Source organism: Homo sapiens, chromosome 11, assembly GCF_000001405.40.
Source record: "Homo sapiens chromosome 11, GRCh38.p14 Primary Assembly".
NCBI lineage: Eukaryota > Metazoa > Chordata > Mammalia > Primates > Hominidae > Homo > Homo sapiens.
The window spans coordinates 36,120,577-36,145,705 of NC_000011.10; the positions used below are offsets into that span (position 1 = coordinate 36,120,577).

Here is a 25,129-nt window from a genome sequence, read left to right on the forward strand (position 1 = left end):
GTTTTACCAATGAAGAAAATGAGACCCAGAGGCATTAGTTAATTTGCCCTGGGTCACTCAGCTAGTAGGTGAAGGGGCCAGGTTTGAACCCAGCAGCCCACCTCCAGATGCCAGTCTACACCTCCAGAAGTGAGACTAAACTGCCTGCTGTGGGTCTGAATGTTTGTGTCTCCCGCAAATTCTATATGCTGAAATTCTAACCCCCAGTATGATTGTATTAGGAGATGAGGCCCTTGGGAGGTGATTAGGTCATAAGGGCAGAGCCCTCATCGATGCCCTTAGAAAAGGGGTACAAGGGAGCACATTCTGTCTTTCCATTGTGCAAGGACACAGTGAGAAGACACTGTCTGTGAACCAGGAAATGGGCCCTCACCAGACCCTAATTCTACCAGGACTTTGATCTTAGACTTCCCAGCCTCCAGAACCAGGAGGAATAAATGTTTGTTGTTCACCTGGTCCATGGTATTTTGTTAGAGCAGCCCCAACTAAGCCACCGCCTCTCTAGTTCACTATTCTGTCCCCGGTATCCAGGGCATCATAGACACTCAATAACCATTCGTTGAATATGCAATTGGATGAAATGAATAAACGACCAGAGGAGTAATCCAGACAGAGCAGCAGTGGCCAAGGGAAGGGAGGATTGATTTATGGGAGAAAATTAGGGGAATGAAATCCATAGAAAGGGTTTGCCTAAGTGAGAGTGATGACTGGAGCCAGAAGACACCCGGGGGAGAGGAATTGTTTCACATGGTAGGAAAAGGGGAGGAGGGAGAGAGGTGGGGTGGTGGAGTGCAGCCTCGAGGCTGGAATATAAATGAAGAGCCACAGAGCTGATATTTCAGCCTGTGGAACAGTCTGAGGAAAGTATGGAAATGCCATCATGTAAGCACGTACACCCAGGGCATTCTACCCTGTCCTGTAAAACAGCAAGGGCCCACTTTGTCCACCACCACAATGGCGATGGCTCCTGGGAAGGGTGCGCCATGAGTATCAAATTATTATGGTTCGGGAAAATAATTGCTGGTTGTGGAATTCTGGAGAAGTAGTATCGCAAAAGAGAGACATGCACAGAAGTGTTCAGGCAGGGAGAGCTGGTTTGTATAAATAAGAGCTTGATGAGCTATCTGTTATGATTTATGCTAGGAATCCATAGCCTCTGTGCTTCTCACACAGTACATAAACCCAAAAGGTCGCCTCTAGTTTGGAGTGGTGATGCTGTGCCAGTGTGGGAGCAGGCAAGGCCGTGAGGCCTTCTTCCTCACAAATCCAGCACCTCCCACCTGCCATCGGGTAAAGAGAGGGAGGGCACTGCAATGGCTGGTGTTACTGAGCCCTCGCGGCATGCCAGGCACTGCTCATTCGTGTTTTACACCATTTCGGAATCCTTTGAGGAAGTTATTTCTATTATCACAATCCCCATTTTACAGGAGGGGAAAGTGAGGTTAAGGGAGACAATGGGATAGGCATGAGGTCATCCAGTAAATGGCAGAGCCAGGATTCGAACCCACACTCTTGTGACCTCAGAGCCCAAGCTCTTAACTATGCCTTCCACAGACACAATCCATGCACCTTAGGATTTTTACCTGAGGTTCTTAGTTTGGTTTGGGGGACCAAAGGAACAAGTAAACAAGCAGAAAATGATGAGGAAGGGCTGTGCTGTGTGCCCAAGCGAGGAAGCAAAAGGATGGGCATGAACAATTTGTAGATGCCATCCAGAACAGAGTGGTCAAGGATTTGGAGGCTCAGTGCAGGGGGAGAAGTGGGAAGGGCTTGTGCTGTACACATGAGGGTTAGGAACTGATGAAGCCACCTCCCCAAGCCTCAGATTTTCCATCTGAAAAATGGAAACAGGATTCATCTCCTTAATTGTGACTATCAAGTGTAATAACGTTGGTAAAGAGCTTAGCACAGGCTTGGCACATGGTAGGACTCCATAAATAGACACTGCAATTATTCGTTCTGTGGTTACTGCATGACGATGATGATAACAATAATAATTACTATTATTATTAAGCAGGAACTGTTTTAGGTGCTGGGAAACCAAAAGGAAAAAACTCCATCCCCAGCCCCTAGGAGCCTGTAGTCTAGTGAAGGAGATAAACTTGTGAACAGATAATTCCTATCTAACTGCTTGCTTCCTTTTCTATGCACTCATGGTACTGCCTGGTGTGATGGTTCATGCCTGTAATCCCAGCACTTTGGGAGGGCATGGCAGAAGGATTGCTTAAGCCCAGGAGTTCAATACCAACCTGGGCAACATAACGAGATCCTATCTCAATTTTTAAATAAATAAATAAAATAAAATTTCATACAAGGCTAGGAAAGTGACTCATGCCTGTAATAAATACCAGCACTTTGGGAAGCTGAGGTGGGAGGATTGTTTGAGCTAAGGAGTTTGAGACCAGCCTGGGCCACGCAGTGAGACCTTGTCTCTACAACAACAACAACAAAAATTTAAAAATCAGCCAGACATGATGGCACATGCCTGTAGTCCCGACTGCTTGGGAGGTTGAGGTGGGAGGATCACTTGAGCCCAGGAGGTCAAGGCTGCAATGAACTATGATGGCACCACTGCATTCCAGCCTGGGCGACAGAGCGAGACTCCGTCTCAAAATAATAATAATAATAATAATAATAAAAGTGTGGTACATAATAAGTATTCAGCAGATACTTTCAAATGAGTAACCATCAGTGCTTATTTTTAAATGTAATATGATGTGTGCAACACAAGAGTTGAACCCAGCCTAGAGCTCAGCTAATCGTAGCTCACCAAGCTTAGCTCCATTCTACAAGCTGGTGCAGGTTTGCCCTACCTGCTTTTCTTTCTCCTGGGAGCAATGTGCTGCCCCACAGCATGGTTTTCTCCTGGCAGTATTAGAAGTACAAAATCGCAAGCCCAGCTCTATAAGCATATTTTAAGCATCTGCTCATTTGTCCCATTGACCCCAAGGTAAGTCACATGACCAAGCCCAAGATCAGTGGGGCAGATAAATATATTCTATCTCCAGCCAGAGAGGCTGCAAGGTGGCATGGCCAAGTGCACGGGTGTGGAAAGGGTGAAGAATTGGAAACAGTTATGCCTCTTTCACAGTGAAGTTTGGAGGGGGAGTAGGCCCTAGCCACAAATGTCTGCCCCTTGGCCTGGCAGATGTCCTGTTTTCCAGGAGTCCAGCCAGGCTGTGGCACAGTGCCGACCCCCTGACTCTTGTCCGAGGGTCTGTGCCAACCACCCGGACTCCTAAAGTCCGGCTGTGGCTGTAGAGTTGAATATTGGCTGAAGCCAGGCTGCCTTTTATTGAGTCTGCCTCCGCCTCATTATTTACATAGACTGTAAAATAAAGCTTAACTCAAAATTACCGTAAGTCAGCGCATCCGAGTGAAGCCGGCAGCTGGACCTTCACAACTGAAAGCAGACTAAATAAAAGGGGGAGGATGAAAAAAGAAGAGCTGCAAATAAGATGTCAGGGAATGCTTAATTATATAAAGGTTATGCATTTGCCTGCATAATTGTCCAAAGCAACTGATGGCAACAGCTGGCAGAGAAGCTGGTCTTCAGCTCTATTTGTGTTTATCTGGTGCCTGTCACCGTAATAGCTACAAGAAGTATTGATCACAAATTAATTTGGCCTCATTCCTTCTCCTTTTTGTCTCTACCCTTATCAGTCTCACTTCCCCTACTAAAATAGGAAGGCTATTGAATACATGGAGAAAACTTGGAGTTTGTGGAGGCTGAGGCTACCAAGTATCATGGAAGCAATATACTATATGCCAGGCACTAGCATAGGTAGCATTTGTAACTGACTTTTTTAATAAAACAACCCTATAAGGTAGGTATTCTTATTCCTGTTTTACATATAAGGGTAGTGAGACCCAGAGAGATGAACTCATTTGACAAAAGTCACACAGCTTGGGGTAGCCTGGTGATTCCCTTAACCACGGCTCTCCCAACTGGGCTCTGCAAGGTGGGTATTTTGGGAGTTTTTTCACTGCACCTGGAGTGAAATCTGAACCCTTTACCACAGACTACATACCCTGTATGTTCTAACTGGTCTTCAAGCACATCTTCTCCTGGTATCCTCCACCTTGTCCGGCACGCTAGTCTCCTTTTCCTTTCTTTTTTTTTTTTTTTCTTGGAGACAGAGTCTCACTCTGTCGCCCAGGCTGGAGTGCAGTGGCATGATCTTGGCTCACTGCAACCTCTGCCACCTGGGTTCAAGCAATTCTCATGCCTCAGACTCCCGAGTAGCTGGGATTACAGGCTTGTGCCACCATGCCCAGCTAATTTTGGTATTTTTAGTAGAGACGGGGTTTCGCCATGTTGGTCAGGCTGGTCTTGATCTCCTGGCCTCAAGTGATCTGCCTGCCTTGACCTCCTCATTTCCATTTCTTAGACATGCCAAGCTCTTTCCTGTTTAAGGGTCTTTGCAGGTGCTGTTACCTCTGCCTAGAACTGTGTTCCTGCAAGGTCACCCGTTCTACCTTAGCTGTTTCCCTCCTCACCCTTAGTATTATTGTTCACAGTGTCCAGAGTGTTTGTTCCAGGGCAGTTATCATACTTATCAGTTGTGCCTTTATGATTGTGGGTCTGCACTCTGATCTGTGCATTCCATGTAAGCAGGGATCATACTTGTTTCATTCACTTATGTGTACCTAGATCCTGGTACACAGAGGCAGTAGAGTGCATTAGAGCATGGTCTCTGAAAGCAACTTCCCGGGTTCAAATTCCAGCTCTGCCACTTATTGTCGACTATGTGACTTTTAGGCGGATGACTTTCTCTTTCTGTCCTCGTTTTCTCTGCCTGTAAAATAGGAATAATGATATTGTTGTGTAGAATGAATTAAGACATAAAAATGCTTTGTACAGTGCCTAATACGCAGCAAGCAGTACATGTTTCACTGCTGTTAGTCATCATGATTAAAATCATTAGCACATAGTAGATAGTCAATGTTTGTTGAATGGATGAATGAATTTCTAATCGCAGAAGGGTAAACAGGCCTCAGCTGGTCGATGGGGTGAGTTTGTAAGCTCAGTGTGAGACTGCTCCATCTGAGATGACACGGTGATCAAAGGGTTGTTCTTTAAGGTGTGCTGATCTCCACTACTCGGCACCCAACTGCCCAAACAGTGCTGTAAGGTGAACAGATTTGGGAGACCACTTTTTGTGATTCCGTAAGTTATTTTGGTGGAGGTGGACAGAGTTTTGGTGGTGGAGAATGGTGTCTTCTTGCTCCTGCAGTGCACAAGATGTTTTCAAGCCACATGGAGGGTGTGGCTGGTAGGCTCTATGGTCCTGTTCCGTCCCCTCCCATAACCCCCTCAACCTGATCTGCTGCAAAAGGCTACCCCCCTTGGAAGGCAGCTGATAGAGAAGCTGTAGGCTTATGCTGGGACCCCACCAGGGACAAATGAGGCCGATTTGGAGACACTGTGGAACCAGGAAGTCAGTCTGCACATTGTGATCTGCGCCTGCGATGCTCCTCCCCACCCTTCACGTACAGTGCTGTTTGGAGGGCTCAGTCCTGCTTTCTGCTCTCCTCTTGCCTTTGGTTCTCCTTTGGCAGGATCCCGCAGGAAGCGTTAGAACCCCACCACTGCTCCCGATGCCTTGCTTCTGTCTGCTGCTGGTCCCCGCTGCCTGCACTGCCCGCCCCCTCATCACCTATCTCTGCTGGCCTCTCAAGGGCACTGCATTGTCCTTCAGTTCCTGGGCGTGAATCTGCTCATCAGGCACCATTTACCTTCTCCAGCCCTGTGCCCTGTTCCTAAATCAAGGCTTACACCCACCAAGAGCAGGGTTTCTTTTATCCCACTGTAATCACTCCTAATGTAATCAATATGCTCAGATCTCTTATTGGAGAGAGTAAGTTATCACCAAGACCCCTGCCAGCCCCATTTCAGCCAATTCCAGCATGCAGGGAAGAGGTTGAGGATTGGCCTTCGGTGTGGTCAGGGTCGGGAGGCTGGTCCCCAGAAGAAGCCAGTTGTTGGCTGTGCCTTTGGGGCAGCGGAGTCTGGAGCCCGGATCATCCATCAGGGCTATCAGCCTTGTTTGGGTTTTTCAGTGGAAGCTCATTCACGTATGCAATAATGGGATGCTGGGTGGTCTAAGTTGCCTTTTGATTTTTAGTCTCCGGGAACTCCAGTGTTCCTGGTGTTATTTGGTATGTCTGTGGCTTTAATTTCCTTTTTAATTTCTGTTGAAAGGAAGAAAGAACTCTGTGGAGTTATAATCTGCAGAGAACCTATGTTGTAAGACCAGTGGGTGTCCTGAATGGCTAAGTAATTAGAACATGCATAATCACCCAGAGTTAAACCCACTGCCGAGCAAGTGCATCCTGTGAACTCGACTGTGTAAACAAAATTGTGCAGAATCAGCCCAAAAGGAAAATTCAACAAATGTGAGCAGTGGTCATCCCTGGTGGTGGATTGTAGAGAATTTAATGTCTGGTTTTGCCCATTTTTCAGTTTTTTACACTGAGCACATTACTGTTGTGTTTTGAAAGAAAGACACGCATTAAAAAATAACCAACACCTGTATTCTTGTCAACACTTGATCTTGCAATCTTAATATAGAAGACTGCAAAAAAATGACTGTTAGAAGCTAAAGATACAGGTTTAAGGAATGTCTTTACTTTATTGTTTATATAATGAAATATTAATATAATAAAACTACAGATTTGCATATGGAATTGGGGTTAAACAGAGGTTTGAAGGATTATCAATTATGAATAGTTTATGGTGAAAGTTACACAATAAAACAGTACTGAGAGGAAGGTGTTTTTCACTTATATATTTGAATTTATATAGTACATGCTGTTTAATCCTGGCTGGTTCCTTAAATCTCACTTTGTCTCAGTTTCACCATCTGTAAAATTGGGGTACTAGCCTGTTAGGTTATTTTTAGGAAGATGTGATTAATATTTGTGAAATTCTTAGAACAGGATTGGAACATAGTAGGTACTCAAGAAATGCTTGATGCTGCTGGGTTAGTCTTATTGTTGTGATACAGAGGCTTTGACAACAGTTTTTGCTCCTACATCAGAAGTAACAGTAGGTAAAGCTATAATGTTAGTTAACCTGAGTAGACTTCTTACCATGTCTGAGCCACCATGCTAAGTTTTTTATTTAGGTTATGTCATTTGCTCCTCAAATCTGCTTCATATCAGTTTAGGATGTAAGGGCTCAGAGAGGTTAAGTGACCTGCCCAAGATCACACAGCTTGTAAGAATTTGATTCCAAAGCTCATGCTCTGAATCACTGTTTTATTACCTAGTATTGTATTTTTTGTTCTTCTGCAGGTACCCAAAATATGCACTTGCCTTTACTTTCCCTGGGTCAAAGGTCCACCAGTTGAGGTGTTTTAATGCCCTTCCAAAGATATATGTTGGGAATTTCTCCAGCTGTTTCCCCAAAGCAGCCTCCTCCTGGTGGATGTACACCGAGGAGGCAGGAGCTACCCCACACTCACTGATCTGAGGCATCAGGTGGCCGGGAGGTTCATAACTCAACTGTTGCGTATTGATGGCAGAGTTGTTTTTACATATATATATATATATATGTATATGACATGTAGGCAATTAAACTTAGAATGGGAACTGAAAGATGAAGAATTAATTCCCTGTTTGTTTGTAATACTGTGTGTAGGCAAACAATTAATCAGCATCTGTATAAATACCCTCCCCATAGGGGTCTGGCCCAGGGACAGGGAGCTCCTCTGCCTCCTGCTAGCTGGAGAATATTGGTCCATCTCACGCATTTAACCGCAATTTCTTCTGCCCAGCCTTGTGCTGGATGCTTCAACAAGTGAAGCTTACCAAACCACCATGCACAGATGCTCCCCCTGGGACTCGTGGGTAGAGATGCCAGAGGGTGCCATCATAAAGGACTGTAGAAGCCCGTGCACCTGGGAAATTGGACTTTATCTCGAGAGCAGTGGGGAGCCCAAAGGGCAGAACTACAATCCAGTTTTTAATCAGAAAAACCACTCTAGGCTGGGCACGGTGATTCATGCCTGTAATCCCAACACTTTGGGAGGCTGAAGTGGGTAGATTGCCTGAGGTCGGGACTTCAAGACCAGCTTGGGCAACATGGTGAAACCCCATCTCTACTAAAAATACAAAAATTAGCCTGGTGTGGTGATAGGCACCTGTAGTCTCAGCTACTCAGGTGGCTGAGTCAGGAGAATCGCTTGAACCCAGGAGGCTGAGGTTGCAGTGAGTGGAGATCACATTACTGCACTCCAGCCTGGGTAAGAGAGTGAGACTGTGTCTCAAGGAAAAAAAAAAAAAAGAGAGAAAAGAAAAATCACCCTAGCATCGGTGGAACAGTGATGGGCAGAGGCCAAGGTTAGTAGAGAGACACTGGCTGGGATGCTACCTTTGTAGTCTACATGAGGGATGGTGGTGGCTTTCCCTGTGAGATGGAGGGAAATGGACAAAGTCAAGAGATGTCAGGGAAGTAGAAGTACAGGTCTCAATACTAGATTTGATGTTTGGGGAGTAGAGAGGAATAATGATGAGGGAACCAGCCCCTGCCTCCAGCTCGAGAGATTTAATAGACCTTCCCAGATAGAAATGTCCCGGTCATTGTGTGGGAAGGTTAATTTAGAAGAGCATATGGCATTTGTTCTCTGCCTGCTTCTGAGAAGAACACTATTAGCCCTTTTCTAAGTCCTTTCTAAAACAAAAACAAAACCCAAAGGATTTGGCTTGCAACTGTCGATGGCAGAGGCTGCTGCAAGCAGGACTTGGTGTTTTGCTGATTCGAACATTGAGCAGAGGTATGTGGTCTGGGATTCCCTGTGAAATCAGCCCCAGAGCCTTCATCTCCAATAGCCTGTGCCAACCTAGAAGGCCAATATGAAAGTTGAACGAGGAACTAGGAATGGTCCTGTCCCAGAGTCCCTTCAGAGGAGGTGAGCCAGTATCAAATCCGACCTTGCTGGGACCCCAAGGGATGTTCTGCACTCAGATTTTATAAATCGTCCTTTGTGCCAGGTCCCTTCCCGGGAGCCACAGGCATGACTTAGGTTGTTGCGTGGATTCCCTTACCTAGGGCATAGAGAGGCCATGCAATTGATCATTGCTCTGAGGCAGTCAGAAAATGTGGAAGGAGGCATCCCAGCTGAAACATCTGCCCTAAGCCTCCTTCTTGGCCCTAAAACCTGCCTGGAATGTTCACCACCCCCAACACTCTCCCCAATCCACCCACCTCCTCTGGGTCTTTGCTCAGTGAGACCTTCCCTGACCACCCTCTATCAAACTGCATCTTTTCCCTTCCCTGCTATATTTTTCTCTGTAGTATTTATCACCACTGGGTGTACACTGTCCTTACATTCATTCTTGTTGTTTGCTAGTCTCCCTCTGTAAGATAAAAGCTCCAGGAGGGAACTTCCGTGTTTTGTTTGTTGTTCATTGCAGTATCCTCAGCCCCCATAGTGGTGCCTGGAACTCAGGAGGGGCTCAGTCAATATTTGTTGAATGGATAGTAATAGTAATGGCTAGCTTTTATCAGCTGAGACCCTATGCTTACAGTTCACTGAAGAGTTGAGAGACAGGCATTGAACAGGCAATTTCAAGTGTGATGATTCGTGTAAGGAAAAGTGTAGGACACGATAGTAGCACGGTGGGCTTCCCTGAGGAAGGGGCATTTGGCTGAGACCTGAAGGGTGATAAGACCCTGAAGAGAAGAGTCTTCCCGGTGGAGGGAGCAGCATTTGTGAGGGCATAAGGTAAAGAGAATGGGGCTGACGGGATAGAACTCACAAATGAAGTGTGCAGAGGCTTGTCTGGATGTGTCCACGGGGGCTGGAAGGGGCTGGATTTTAGAAAAAGTATTAAGATCCCAGCCTTGATCCTCAGGACAGCGTGAGGCCATCAAAAGGTTCGGAAGGAAGTTTGGAGGGCAGAAGGCTGGAGGGAATGCTTCCTTGCCCAGATGAAGCCTGAATGACTCGCAGGGCTGGGGCAAGCTGCCGCCAGTTTTATCCACAAAGCAGCAACCACTTCTGCTAAGATAGTGATGACTCCGAGCCCCTCCAGCTCCCCTGTTCTCCTCAACCCTGGTCTGAGCGCCTGCTTTGTGCGAGTCATTCAGGCTTCATCAAGGCACTATGTTAATGTTAGGTCCTTCTTACAGATCAGCCCACGTAGTCCTCACAGCAGCTGGTTGAGGAGCTATTATCATCATCCCCACTTGGCAGTGGTAGGTAGAGGCTGAGGCTGAGAGAGTTGCCCAGGTTCACTCTACTGGAAGGAGCCAGCTCTGGAATCTGGAATTCAGCCCCAGGCCTCTCTCAGTCCAAGTCCAGTGCGCACTATCTCTTTCATGGACTGCCTCCCATTCTCAGGATCCTAATGTCTTTATCTAACCCTGCTGGTGGCCAGAAGCCTCTACCTGGTACCCGTCACAACCCAGGTGAGACCAGGCATCTCAGGATGCCTCACCTGACTTCCAGCTGGAATCCAACCTGAGCTGTGCAGTTGGCTCAAAGGGTGGCCAACCAGAGGAGCAGATTTATCCACATTGGCATCAGAAAAACCACTCTAGGCCGGGCACAGTGGCTCATGCCTGTAAGGCTCATGCCTTGAGAGGCTTTCCCTGTTCTCCCAGCTCTCACCCCACCACCAGTAATCTGTGCTTAAACGAGCTGTCTTGCCTTTCCACGCAAATGAATTGGAGATGGTGAGGCTCCAGGCAGCAGCAGACGCATCTCAAAGCTGGTTTGGGGCATAAGAGCTTTCTCTCTATGAGAATAACCTGCTTCGGAGCCTTCTCAAGGATAGGGAGGTTGGTATTTATATAAAGTGAGGTTTTCGAAATGAACAGAGGTATGAGCTGCCTGGCAGTGTCCTGGAACGAGCCAGTTTGTAAAATAACTACTTTTTTGTTGCTTTGGGGCTAGAATACATTATACCAGAGTAAGAGATGGTAACTGACTACATTATTGTATTTATTTCTTAGGAATGAAAACACTATACTATTCCTATTATTGGGGATGCTTTGCCTTTTAAAAAAATTATGGTGAAATATACATAACAGAAAACCTACTGTCTTAGCCATTTTTAAGTGTATGGCTCAGTAGCATTAAGTACTGAATTATTGTGATGATTTGCCTTTTGAAATCCAGAAAAGAATACCTGGGTGTATTTTGTCCAAGCATGTAATATTGCTTCCTTGACTCCTATTTATAGTTTCTAACATTTGCATGGTTTATTCCAGTTTGTATAGTCTATATCACACATCTTGCCTCATTGAACCCACCTGGGGCCTGGGGTGGGCTGGGCAAAGGACCAGAGGAGCTTAGGTGCTGGGTGGTCTTTGTTTCGAGCATGTTCTAGTGCCATCTAGCGTCTGTGGGACCTTGTGCTGGCCAGGCTAAGGCTGTTGGATTTCCCCTGCTTGGGGCGATGGCTCTGTAAAACCCAAATAGCTTTAAAAGAGCACCAAGGAGATGTTTGTCTTTTTAAATCAGCTGGGATTTTTTTTTTTTTCCAGCTCTGATCCCTTGGAAACTTACAACTAAAATTCATTTCATTAGCAGTCAGAACAGTGTGTCCCTTTGAAGTTCAGACAGGGTGAGATTAATATGAACACGATATTAAGCTATTAAGCATCAGTTTGCCAAACCTATTTATAAAGGAGAGCGGAAGACGGAAAATAAAGGAGGCTGCATTAAGAGGCTCCTTTGCCAAGTCCACTGTCTCTTGTTGGAAAATGTGTCTCAATAACCCGTTTTTGTGTGAGAGAAGAGAAAAAGAAAACGTGTGACTGTGTGTGTGTGTACACATGCTTCAATGATGTGTGATTATCTAATAAGAGCAATAATGCAGCGTGGCTAAACTTACACAGTGTTGACTGTGTGCCCAACACTGTTCTTAGTGCTTTATATTTAAAATTTGTTAAATCACACAACAACCCAGAAGGAGTAGGTGTCATTATTTCCCCGTTTTATAGATGAGAAAACTGGGGCACACAAAGGTTGGGTGGTTTGTCGAAGGTCACAAAGCCACAGTAAATATTTTGTGATAGAGAAATTGTTCAGGACTCAGAAGCACATGGATTTTTAATTCGGGTTTCAGGTGATGTTGCGTTTTTTCTTCCTATCCATACATCACTTTTGAGCGCCTTACAGTCCCGATAGGAGAGGACCTTACATAGTGCTTGTCAAGTGAATGCAGCGGTTTAAGCCCATGTGGGGTTTTTGGCTTGTTTTAACGCACTCATAAGTAACGTACTCATGCGGGGCCGTGTATACAGAGGGAAGAGCACCACGTTAGTCAGCAGGTTTGAGTTTGGTCCTCAGCTCTGTGGCTTCCCAGCCACGTGACCCTGGGCAAGTGACTTCCTCTCCCCAGCCTCAGTTCCCCCCTTTTGGGGATAATAGAATGAGTTTTATAGTGTTTTGGGGTTTTTATTTTGAGAGGATAAATGAGATACTGATTAAAACAGCCTCTTGTCTAGTGTTTGGCCCATGGTATGTGCTCATTAAATTTTACCTTTGTTTACCTTTTATCTGGAAACTTAAACTTACTTAGCTCTCCTTTTGCATTTTCTGGCATCTCCTGCAGTGATGATTCATCTTCCTTATGGCCTAAGAAGGCCAAGTCCATTTGTCCATTTTCTTTTTTCTTTTTTTTAGTTGAGATGGGGCCTTGCTATGTTGTCCAGGTTGGTCTCGAACTCCTGGGCTCAAGCAGTCCTCCTGTCTCAGCCTCCCAGAATGCTGGGATTACAGGTGTCAGCCATCATGCCCAGCCTGAGTCCATTTTCTTTTCCTTTCTTTTCTTTTCTTTTCTTTTCTTTTCTTTTCTTTTCTTTTGGAAAAAACTGAGACAAGGTCTTGCTCTGTTTTCCAGGTTGGTCTCAAACTCCTGGGCTGAAGCAGTCCTCCTGCCTCAGCCTCCCAAAGTGCTAGGATTACAGGCATGAGCCACCATGCCCAGCCCAAGTCCGTTTTCTTTTTCTTTTCTTTTTTTTTTTTTTTTTTGAGACGGAGTCTTGCTCTGTCACCTAGGCTGTGTCTCAGCTCACTGCAAGCTCCGCCTCCTGGGTTCACGCCATTCTCCTGCCTCAGCCTCCCGAGTAGCTGGGACCACAGGCGCCTGCCACCACGCCTGGCTAATTTTGTTTTTGTATTTTTAGTAGAAACAGGGTTTCACCGTGTTAGCCAGGATGGTCTTGATCTCCTGACCTTGTGATCCGCCTGCCTCAGCCTCCCAAAGTGTTGGTATTACAGGCATGAGCCACCGCGCCCGGCCCATTTTCTACATCGAAGGATAAAATGGTCCAGTTCTGCTTGGGTGTGGGTTCTTAAATGTCTGTTCTAGTTGAAAGAACTGAAAGCTGAGAAAAATCTGGCTTTGTTCCTTCTTCCCTCTTTCAGATTTCCAAGTATATATATATATAACATGTATGTATACACACACATACACACACATGCATGCATAGCGACCCAGATAATTTTGGATCAAGTATAACAGGAATGGAGATAAAATCAGAAGGACATCAGACATTTGGATGGGCAACCAGACACTGGGGAAAAAATCTTGTTTGTCTGCAAGTTACCTCCTACAAGGCAAAAATCATAACATCAGCATCTTATGGAAACTGAAAAGGGAGATCCGGAGAAGCTTCCAGAAAGCAGGGGGATACATTGAAATGCATTGTACACTCCTAATGATTGCAATTTTAAGATGTGTAAAGTGTTACTGATAGTCTCCTTAATATGCAGTGTCTGTTGTCATTAGGTATTAATAAGCACTAATGATATTAATAAGCACTTTTATCAGTTCCTGTAAAAATCGAGTTTTCCTGATCTTATTTTTCCTGTCATGTCTTAGGCTGCTTAATCATAGATTCTCACTCCATAGGGTCTGCAGCATTTGCATGTCTGAAGGAAGTGGTTTCTTCATCCAGAGCTCTCAAGCTTTGAGAGGGAATTTTACATATCATCTTAACAGTGGTGTGTGGGAAATGAGATATGGCATTTTTGTTCGAGGGAACTCTTGTAGGCCCCCTTCACATCTCATGGAGAAGGCAGCAGTGTAGTTTTTGCAAGCCTGAGCCCAGCCTTTCAGCTGAAGGTAGCTGCAGCCACATTGGGCATCTGTTACGGACCTCATTGAGAAATGGAATCATTCATTCCCTCTTGGGCTCATTCAGTTGCAGTTATGTTTAACTTGCTTTTGAGAACCTCCCCTCTTGCTGGGAAGTCTGTCTTTTGATCTGCAGCAGGAAGAATAGCTCAGAATTGGCAAGTTGGTGGTGGGTGCTGCCGGCTCTCTGGGGACCAGGAGGTATCATCTGCCTGGTACCATGAGGGTATTAAAGGGGGTGAAACACTAATGACTTCTTCCAGCTCCCCTGCCTCTAGGTTTCTCTCCTGGTTACTCTTATGTCCCCAGTTCTCCACTCTCAGCACCCTTCTTTTCTCCATTTTCCCTGTTTCCCCTCTCTCTTTCCCTCCTCTTCCTCACTGTTGTAGGTGCAGCAAAAGAAGAGTGATGTTTGGTGGATACTTGGGATAACTGAGCTTCCACCTTCTTTTGACTCAGCCTGGAGATGCAGCCTCTCAACTTTTCTGTATAAATCATTTAAACACACGGTTTAATAAGCACAGAGTTTTGCTGTGGCTTGTCTCTGGTCTTTCAGATCAAAGCCAGAAGTCCAGGGAAATGTCTGGGAAAAGTCGTGCCTCTGCATTCCAGTTCTGTGCATTTTGATTCTTGAAAGATTGATTGCTGGCTTTTTGCCCTTTCCCCATGGCTGGGGTTTGGGAAGATTCTGGAGAGTTGTTATTTCTGGCCCCTAAGCCTTGAGGGGTGGCAACAATTCTGACCTTGCTTTCCTTCTTCCTGCCTTCTGTTCCCATTCTGAGTCTTCTCATTATCCTGAGTGTTTAAAATGATAAACTCCTTCATGGCATCACCTACCCATCTCCCAAAACAGTGATTTAAAAAGCATGAAAAACCCCAGGTAAAATGAAGTCAAACAGATTTCTTTGTTTTGGAACTACTACAAGTCTTGGATGCTTTAGAAATCCGTAAGTGGGGTTGGGCACGGTGGCTCACGCTGTAACCCCAGCACTTTGGGAAGCCGAGGCGGGCGGATCACTTGAGGCCAGGAGTTCAACACCAGCCTGGCCAACATGGTGAAACACCGTCTCTACTAAAAATCCAAAAATTAGTTGGGTGTGGTGGTGCACACCTGTAATCCCAGCTACTCAGGAGGCTGAGGCAGGAGAATCGTTTGAACCCGGGAGGCAGAGGTTGCAGTGAGCCGAGATAGCACCACTGCACTCCAGCCCAGGCAACAGAGTGAGACTCCATCTCAAAAAAAGAAGAAGAAAAAATAAATCCCTAAGTGGGAGATACAGTATTTGGCATTTTCCAAAAGTACCCAACCAAGGAATTATTTCTTGGAGTTACATCTCGTGGATCAACACTACCAACACTCTAGCTCTGAAGGACCTGCTAGCATTATTCCTTCAGGATAAGATATTCCTTCTATATAACCCAGTTCATCTGTGCACATGAATCTGTGTACACTGAGTCCTGTGCTCTATGCCGATTGGCCTTCATGAATGTGTGCTGCAGGGGGCATGCTGGCCTATCTCAGAAGGATTAAGTTGAGGCATAAAAGCCTGAGTGCCCACTGTGCACCAGATGTTTCATATACACTGTCTTAGGTAGACTTCACAACAACCCCACAAGGTAGATCCTGTTTTTCCTATTTCACAATTGAGGCCAGTGTACAGAGAAGTAAAGTAAGTTACTGATACAGTTTGGTTATTTGTCCCTGCCCAAATCTCACGTTGAATTGTAATCCCCAGTGCTGGAGGTGGGGCCTGGTGGGAGGTGTTTGGATCATGGGGGCGGATCCTTCATGGCTTGGTGCTGTCTCTATGATAGTGAGTTCTCTTGAGATATGGTTGTTTAAAAGTGTGTGGCACCTCCCGCCAGACTCTGTCTTACTTGCTTCTGCTTTCACCATGTGACATGCCTGCTCCTCCTTCACCTTCTGCCATGATGGAAAGTTTCCCGAGGCCCACCCAGAAGCTGAGTAGATGCCTGCACCATGCCTCTTGTAAAGCCTGCAGAACTGTGAGCCAACTAATCCTCTTTTTTTTTTTTTTGAGACAGAGTCTTAGTCACCCAGGCTGGAGTACAGTGGCGCGATCTTAGCTCACGGTTACCCCTGTCTCCTGAGTTCAAGCAATTCTTGTGCCTCAGCCTCCTGAGTAGCTGGGATTACAGGTGTGTGCCACCACAGCTGGCTAATTTTTGTATTTTTAGTAGAGGCAGGGTTTTGCCATGTTGGCCAAGTGGGTCTCAAACTCCTGGCCTCGAGTGATCCACCTGCCTCAGCCTCCCAAAGTGCTGGGATTACAGGCATGAGCCACCGCACCCAGCCTAAACCTCTTGTTTATAAATTACCCAGACTCAGGTATTTCTTTATAGCAATGCAAGAACAGCCTAACACAGTTACCCAAAGCCCTACAACTAGCAAATTCTGGCAGGGCCAGAATTCAGCATAGATATTAGGAAGAGGTCCATGGAACATAACGCAGCCATGCTAAGCCTCATTTGTCACTGGCCAGCAACCTGAACTGAGGTTGACCAGGAAATGGATTTGTGATGGGACCATTCTGTCACTGTTTGTGTATGTAAATAAGGGACATCTCTGACACCTGCTGGGGTAGCCAGAACATTTAATATCCTTTGCCTGCCTGAACACCTTTTCAGATGTAGGGCTCAATTCACATACCTACAAGTTCAGTTTTTACCCAACCAACTTCTAATGACATAATCTCATGAGTTCATTTTATCTGTAACCTCTCATCAGAATTAGCAGATCCTCTGCAATTTGGGAACTCTGGACAAAATCCAGGGGAAAGATTCTGAAGGTGAAGCATTCAAGTCTAGCAGTCCTAATGGAAACAGTGTAATAGCAACATGCCACTCATCTGCAGTCAGCCTGGATGACTTAAATTGGTTTCCAGGAGGTTGAAGTTTCATGAGAACAGCTCGGCACAGCTAAGCTGGTATTAATAAGCACATTGTGCCCGTGGACAACATTGTAGATCAATACAGTATATGCTCCAAATTCACATGATAGATGAGTACCATTATGACCTAATTAGCAAGCCTTATATTTTGAATAGATAAATAGTAATTCCACCACATAATCCTAAACCACTTCTTGAAAAACGCCGTTGCTGCCGCTCTTCCCTGCTGCAGAGATGAAGGCAGAGTGAGCAGAGGAATGGGTAACCATTTACATATTTATTTGCTTCTGTGATGGGTAACTGTTTTGTCTGTATTCACAGACGTCTCTAGTTCAGCTGTGCTCATTATTTTTTAACATGAGATAAGAGGAAAGTGTTCAGTTTTTTTAAAAGTCAAACCACATCTTAAGGGTGGAATTTACTGGGCCATACGTAACTCAGGGGCCCTTTAATCTGTTGCATTTGAGGTGCATCACCCTGAGTGCTTGAAGATCAGGGAGTTGGGTCCAAGGCTGGCAGTGACACCAGCAGGCTGTCCTCTGCAAGGGAACCATCTATTGCCTTGTGGGCAAGAACATGGGCTCTGGATTCAGAGAGATCTGGGTTCAAATCCTGACTCTCACCTTTCTTAACTTTGTGACCATAACATTTCTGAAAGGCAAGTAAATGGGATTGCTAATAGTACCTACTTCCTTGGGTGGTTGGGAGGATTAAATGAGATAATGTGTGTCGTGCCTAGCACAGTGCCTGGCACATGATGCGGGAATAGATCAGTTAGTTTTTATTGATAGTCTCTTTTATCTTTTGTGCAGTAAAGTAGTTTGACCAAATCAAAGAGTCCCAAAGTAAGGTCTTGACAAACATATTGGTGGAGGTGGCTCTCAGACTATTTTCAGTATTAATTAGAAGTGCCTGATGTCTTTGCCTTTGACTGGACTCACTCCAACTTCATAGCAACACCCATTATCTCATGGAGGTCAGAGGCTTGGTTTGGCAGTGACATTTGTTTATGATTAGTTAAAAATGGGAATCATATTAATTAGTATTTAATAGCTGCATTTTGGTGACAGATTTTGCTACCAAGCTGCCCTTACACATCTTACTTGGAAAATGCCTCTGGTTTAGAAGATGGCAGTTGTCAGAACATGTGATGCTTGGGGGGTTTGAGGGGTAGGTGGACATTGAAGATTTGTGGTGGTAGAAAGTTTAAGACCCTTGGTCTGGATGGTGTTTTCTAGTTAACCTTCTCTGATTCTGTGAGTCCTGCCTGTGCAGAGAGCACAGTAATAGGGTAACATGTAATCCCTATGTAATAGGGAACCTGACTGTTTACCTATACACACCTTGCCTACCCTTTCTTCTCCCACCCATTATGCCCTAGCTGGTGGCCTTGGCTTAAGCCAGATAAATGTCCTTATAATCTCAGGAAAATGCAACTCTCACTTCTACTCCCTGCTATCCCTGTGCTGCCAGCCTGCCTGGAATGCTCTTCTCTCTTTGTGGCCCTACTCAGGGTTCCTTTAGCTTGATACTGCTGGTCTTTTGGACTGGCAAACTCTTTGTTGCATTATAGAATGTTAGCCAGCATCTCTGAGGTCTATCCATTAGATACTAGTAGCACCCTGGTCCCTAAGTTGTGACAACTAACAATGTCTCTAAGACCTTGCCAAATGTCCCCTGGGAGTGGGGGCAGACCCAACTTAACATCCTGCCTTCTCCATGAAGACTTCAGTTCCAGTCCGCATAATTCATCCGTCAATTATAGATGATCCCAACTTTGGTCTGTGTGTGTCTTCATTTTGTCTCCCCATTCAGGTCTCACTGTTAAAGAGTTTGGACCACATTGTAACTTCTCTGTCTCCACAGAGCAGATCCTTGTTTGCTGTATTGATTTTTAACAAGAGCCTCCTGGCTTGCTGTTGGTTGCCATGAATTGAGCACCTGATGTTTTTCAGTCGCTTCATGTATATTTTCTCTAATTCTTACAACAACCCTCATCTTAACAGGAAAGATATCTGAGGCTCAGAGCGGGTAAGTAACTTACCCGTAGTCACACAGCTGATGAGTCCAAACCTGTGCGCTTCCCCATAAACCACCAAACCCTGCCAGTTTCGGGAGGGCAGCAAGAAGGCAGTTGGTGTCTCTGTCTGTCTGTGGCCTGTGTTTAAATTATCTCCAGGAGACGAGGGTGAAGGGATAGCGTGGGAGTGCCCTTTGAGAATGGATGTTGGGAAGAACCTAGTATGGAAAGAATAGGGGGCAACCTCTCTTCCCCTGGAAGGCTTGGCAGCAGGAATCCAGCCGAAGTGAATGTGCTGTGGGTTTAGAGCTGGGCACTGATTGGTTCTTCTGTGGCAGCCCTGAAGGCTGAGTCAAGAATAGGTCAGCCTTACATGCTTGGAGATGCTCTGGAAAATGACATATCTCTTATTGGGCTAAGCACCATGCTAGGGAAAAGTAAATATTCCCTCTGGCAGCCATGAAAAGAACAGTCAGCAGTGATGAGCAGGACAAGGGAAATGATTTGTTTTGTCTTGGAAAGCTGTGTTTGTTACCTCTGAATATGGCATGTTTGTTCTTAACGAAGACTTACCTGGGCAGTTTGCAGAAGGGGAAATCTGGTGAACCATGAGCCTATGAGGGGATGTGCACTTCTTCTAGTAGGCAGGGCAAAGTAAACCAAAATGGCAGGACCCTTCTCACACCAGAGAATACCTTGGCCTGTGTAGAAGAGGATGCGCATACGCTCATTCATATCCTCATTGTTGGTAATGATGAAAAATTAACAAACCATCTAAATGCCTGTCTGTAGGGGATTTGACAAATCCTGTGATGGAATACCATGCAGCACATCAATTTTTGAGACAGGGTTTCACTATGTCACCCAGGCTAGGGTGTAGTGGCACTATCACGGTTCACTGCAGCCTCTACTTCCCGGGCTCAAGCGATCCTCCCACCTCAGTCTCCTGAGTAGCTGGGACTACAGGTGTGCGCCACCATGCCCAGCTAATTTTTTGTAGAGATGGGGTCTCTCCACGTTGCCCAGGCTGGTCCTGAACTCCTGGGATCGAGCGATCTGCCCACTTCGGCCTCCCTAAGTGCTGGGATTACAGACGTGAGCCACCGTGCCTGACGTTGTGTACACTTTAAAAGCATATGGAAACCAATATTATTTATTTATCATAGATAGAAATGTGTCTATGAAAGTATTAAAAATAGACTTTCAGGTTGCAAAACAAACTGAAGAAAATAATTACCTAGGAGCACGAGGGGTGAGCAGGCAATGCAATTGAAGTAGATAAAGCATCCTTCTTTGCCTTATCCGAAAGGTACTACTAATGTGAAAAATAATTAATGGAAATGTGACAAAATCCTAGCTGGTTTTAATTCTGGGTGCTGTTGAGCTTTCTCTCTCTCTCTCTCTCTCTCTCTCTCTCTCTCTCTCTCTCTCCGTGTGGGGGTGTGCGTGTGTGTCTGTATTTTAAAAAATGGTTCCATCCAAAATGGAGATATGCGTGGTACTAGCCCTGCTTCCTGTATGGGCTGTCATGGGGATTCGATGGCAGTAATATATGTGAAAATGCTCTGTCAACTAGGAAGCAATGCAAAGGCAGGATAATGTTTATTTAATAAGAATAATCACCTATCGAGTTTTTCTTTGGTCCTTGGCTAAGTAGCTTTGTAGCATTTGGAGGCTTGGGAGAGTTTGCAGTGATTTACACTCTCCATACCTTGAAGTTCATGTTCGTTTGTTTTGTAAAAACTCCCCAGAGCACACAGCAGAGATAAAAGTAAAGAGAAAGCAGGGATCGAATTTTTATGTGCGTCTTGGAAGGCTGGGGAGGATGTGGAAGCGGATGCATCCCTCCGGGAAAATGGAGACAGCTGCCTGAATGGAAACCCACAGCCCCATCCCTGTCCTGAGGTCTGGGGTTTGATCTTGTAGTGCATCTGATCAACTTTAGTACATGCTTACTGGGTCGTTGGTCTAGGCAGTAGCCAGAATAGGAGAATTTGGTGGGGGTGGGAGTAGGGAATCAGTCAGTAAAGGGAGACAGGGATGGGTGAAGAAGGGATGTACGCTAACCCATATAGATGAAGGGCATGTTCAAATAAGTAGTTTCTATGGCAACACGTGGAGTGAGCCAGGTGCCCCCGGCCCGAGCAGACAAGCAGGCTCTGAATGGAGCACTCTCCATTACCTGAAGAGGTAGCTGGCTGGAGCAGCCAGGGTCACAGGAAGTCAGCAGAATAGTTGGGTGGAAGGCAGGCTAAAACACAGTGCATAGCCTCATCTGCATTTCTGAAGGCAATAAATTCCCATTTAAGCTGCAATATCGATCTGCTCTGTGAAATTGCAGTATCAGAGGTTGTTTTCTTTTTTTTCCTTAACCATACAATTGGGACCTTTCCCTGAATCTCAGACAGGATGTGCAGGCTAACTTGTTCCATTTTCTAAGGAAAAATAAACCACTATTGCTTGCTTCCAGTCGCCTCCCCCTTCTTCACTTTTGGGGAAGCCATCCAGCCATGGCTGGGGTTTCCGGACAGATGGTGCCCATCCTTAGCAGCCTCTGTGGACCTCCATTTGGGACACTCTGAATGCAGTGACACACTAGAGTCACTCCTTAGTTTCTGACCTCTCTGATGGTTTTACTCTGATGAAAGGGTAGACTGCAGTCTCCCTCATTCACACATCCCAGCTGTATTAAGTGAGCTGAAGAAGACATAGACACAAGAATATCCATGTGCCTGTTTGTTCCTACTCTGTAGTTCTGCTGTGTGTTTGTGATTTGTCATCATATTCCGTTTAGTAGCTGCTGGTGAAATTTTGAGGTTGAATTCTTACTAGGACAACTGTTCACCTACCAGCCTTAAACCTGGCTCCTCATGAAGTCTGGATGTCCTCAACCTTCAGCACCTCTTAGCCCTTTAGTCTGAGTGGAAGAGGATTCGGTTACTTGATCCACAGTGCATGCTGAACCCACTGTCTGGTTCCCGCCCCCGCCTCCTGCACTTAGTCTTAAGCACAAACGTCTAAAAGAAGCCAGGTGGGAGGGGCAGTGGTGCACCCGGTGCAGCCGGTGAAGTGAGACTCACACTCATTGGAGGGCACGTGCCACACCAAAGGGAAGCCCCCAACCCAGCTGCAGCCAGGCATTTTCAAGCAGGAGGGCGCTTTCTGCATTACTACCTCTTCCAGGTTATCTAAAGGAGCCAGAGGTTGGAATTTCTGTGTGAAAGCTCTTGATTTTTAAATATTGAAGGAAAAAACAATTGGAAATCTGAAAGCACTGTGCAGTCACGCAAAAATCCAGCTCCCAGGCTCATGGAACCCAGGGGAAAAGAGGCAAACCACCCCAATGGGATTTAGGTACATTTGAAAAAGGAGCCAAATTGGTGAACCTTTTCATTAATATACATAACAAACATTGATTAAACACGTACTATGTGGTAGGCACTATGCTAAGTGCTTAACATTGCAGATGCATATTCACCAGTGAGGCGGGTGGGGTTAACTTCACTTTACAGATGAGGACATTGAGTCTCAGTCTGGGAAAGCATTTTGCCTGGGGTCACCTAGGAGTGATCAGAACCAGCATCTGAACCCAATTCTGTCTGTGAGCCTGTGAACCTGTTCCCCAGGCACAACGCGCTGTCTCCGGCAGCCTTGCTTCCCCTGCTTAAAAGTCACAAAGAACTCCCTGGCCAGAAAGGAAACCCAAGGCCTGGCGTCCTCTACCTCTTTCCCGTGGTGGCCTTGAATGAGAAACCAGAAGAAGCTGGCACATCAGGTGAATGTGGCTTTGACCACTCTCTTTCTCCACGGTTCAGGGCGGACCTTCTTCCAAAAATAGACTTGCCAAAAGTCTTGGCTGTTGTTAGCTCAGAAATAACCTCATTGGGCAGGAGGATCCTGTACCTGGAAATTATGTATTTTCCCACTTCCTGTTTGAGCCCAGGGAGAATGCCACAGGAAAAAGAGAAACAGGTATGGAGACTGTGTGTTCCAGCCTTCCTAAGTGTATTAGTTGGCTGTGGCTGCTAACAAAATACCACAGACTGGGTGGCTTAAATAACGGAAATGCATCTGCTCACTGTTCTGGAGGCCGGAAGTCCAAGCACAAGGTGTCAGCAGGTCTGGTTTCTCCCAGCACCCCTTTTTTTTGGCTTGTAGATGGCATCTCCTTGCTATGTCTTCACATTAGATTAGAGCCCACCCTACAAACAAAACAAAACAAAAACCTCATTTTAGCTTAATCACTTCTCGAAAGACCTTGCCTCCAAATGCAGTCGCATTCTAAAGTGTTGGAGGCTCCCTCTCCCTCTCCCTCTCCCCCTCCCCCTCCCCCTCCCCCTCCCTCTCTTGCCACGGTCTCCCTCTGATGCCGAGCCGAAGCTGGACTGTACTGCTGCCATCTCGGCTCACTGCAACCTCCCTGCCTGATTCTCCTGCCTCAGCCTGCCAAGTGCCTGCGATTGCAGGCGCGCGCCACCACGCCTGACTGGTTTTCGTATTTTTTTGGTGGAGACGGGGTTTCGCTGTGTTGGCTGGGCTGGTCTCCAGCTCCTAACCGCGAGTGATCCGCCAGCCTCGGCCTCCCGAGGTGCCGGGATGGCAGACAGAGTTGCGTTCACTCAGTGCTCAATGGTGCCCAGGCTGGAGTGCAGTGGCGTGATCTCGGCTCGCTACAACCTCCACCTCCCAGCTGCCTGCCTTGGCCCCCCAAAGTGCCGAGATTGCAGCCTCTGCCCGGCCGCCACCCCGTCTGGGAAGTGAGGAGTGTCTCTGCCTGGCCGCCCATCATCTGGGATGTGAGGAGCCTCTCTGCCTGGCTGCCCAGTCTGGAAAGTGAGGAGTGTCTCTGCCCGGCCGCCATCCCATCTAGGAAGTGAGGAGCGTCTCTGCCTGGCCGCCCATCGTCTGAGATGTGGGGAGCGCCTCTGCCCTGCCGCCCCGTCTGGGATGTGAGGAGCGTCTCTGCCCGGCCGCCCCGTCTGAGAAGTGAGGAGACCCTCTGCCTGGCAACTGCCCCGTCTGAGAAGTGAGAAGCCCCTCCGCCCGGCAGCCACACCGTCTGAGAAGTGAGGAGCCCCTCCGCCCGGCAGCCACCCCGTCTGGGAAGTGAGGAGCGTCTCCGCCCGGCAGCCACCCCGTCCGGGAGGGAGGTGGGGGTCAGCCCCCCGCCCGGCCAGCCGCCCCGTCCGGGAGGGAGGTGGGGGGGTCAGCCCCCCGCCCGGCCAGCCGCCCGTCCGGGAGGGAGGTGGGGGGGTCAGCCCCCCGCCCGGCCAGCCGCCCCGTCCGGGAGGTGAGGGGCGCCTCTACCCGGCCGCCCCTACTGGGAAGTGAGGAGCCCCTCTGCCCGGCCAGCCGCCCCGTCCCGGAAGGAGGTGGGGGGGTCAGCCCCCCGCCCTGCCAGCCGCCCCGTCCGGGAGGTGAGGGGCGCCTCTGCCCGGCCGCCTCTACTGGGAAGAGAGGAGCCCCTCTGCCCGGCCAGCCGCCCCGTCCGGGAGGGAGGTTGGGGGGTCAGCCCCCCGCCCGGCCAGCTGCCCCATCTGGGAGGGAGGTGGGGGGGTCAGCCCCCCGCCCGGCCAGCTGCCCCGTCCGGGAGGGAGGTGGGGGGGTCAGCCCCCCACCCGCCAGCCGCCCCGTCCGGGAGGGAAGTGGGGGGGGGTCAGCCCCCCGCCCGGCCAGCTGCCCCATCCGGGAGGTGAGGGGTGCCTCTGCCCGGCCACCCCTACTGGGAAGTGAGGAGCCCCTCTGCCCGGCCAGCCGCCCCGTCTGGGAGGGAGGTGGGGGGGTCAGCCCCCCGCCCAGCCAGCCACCCCATCCGGGAGGTGAGGGGCGCCTCTGCCCGGCCGCCCCTACTGGGAAGTGAGGAGCCTCTCTGCCCGGCCACCACCCCGTCTGGGAGGTGTACTCAACAGCTCATTGAGAACAGGCCATGATGACAATGGCGGTTTTGTGGAATAGAAAGGGGGGAAAAGTGGGGAAAAGATTGAGAAATCGGATGGTTGCCGTGTCTGTGTAGAAAGAGGTAGACATGGGAGACTTTTCATTTTGTTCTGTACTAAGAAAAATTCTTCTGCCTTGGGATCCTGTTAATCTGTGACCTTAC

At 47.4% G+C, this 25,129-nt stretch overlaps 1 protein-coding gene across 3 annotated transcripts in view, besides 2 other annotated features; it reads left to right on the forward strand.

Moving 5' to 3' along the window:
* Nucleotides 1-25,129, forward strand: part of LDLRAD3 (low density lipoprotein receptor class A domain containing 3) — a 288,075-nt gene that overhangs the window by 176,515 nt on the left and 86,431 nt on the right. The window lies entirely within an intron of this gene.
* Nucleotides 3,284-3,453: an enhancer, noted in NCBI's record as "experimental_21343 CRE fragment used in MPRA reporter constructs". NCBI's record gives its function as "activates a minimal promoter by MPRAs in K562 erythroleukemia cells, with activity observed for both the introgressed and non-introgressed 11:36145495 variant alleles {active_cell/tissue: K562}" and the evidence as "EXISTENCE:reporter gene assay evidence [ECO:0000049][PMID:34662402]".
* Nucleotides 23,079-23,686: an enhancer, noted in NCBI's record as "H3K27ac-H3K4me1 hESC enhancer chr11:36165205-36165812 (GRCh37/hg19 assembly coordinates)". NCBI's record gives its function as "activates a minimal SCP1, AML or CMV promoter by ChIP-STARR-seq in naive H9 embryonic stem cells {active_cell/tissue: H9 hESC(naive)}" and the evidence as "EXISTENCE:reporter gene assay evidence [ECO:0000049][PMID:30033119]".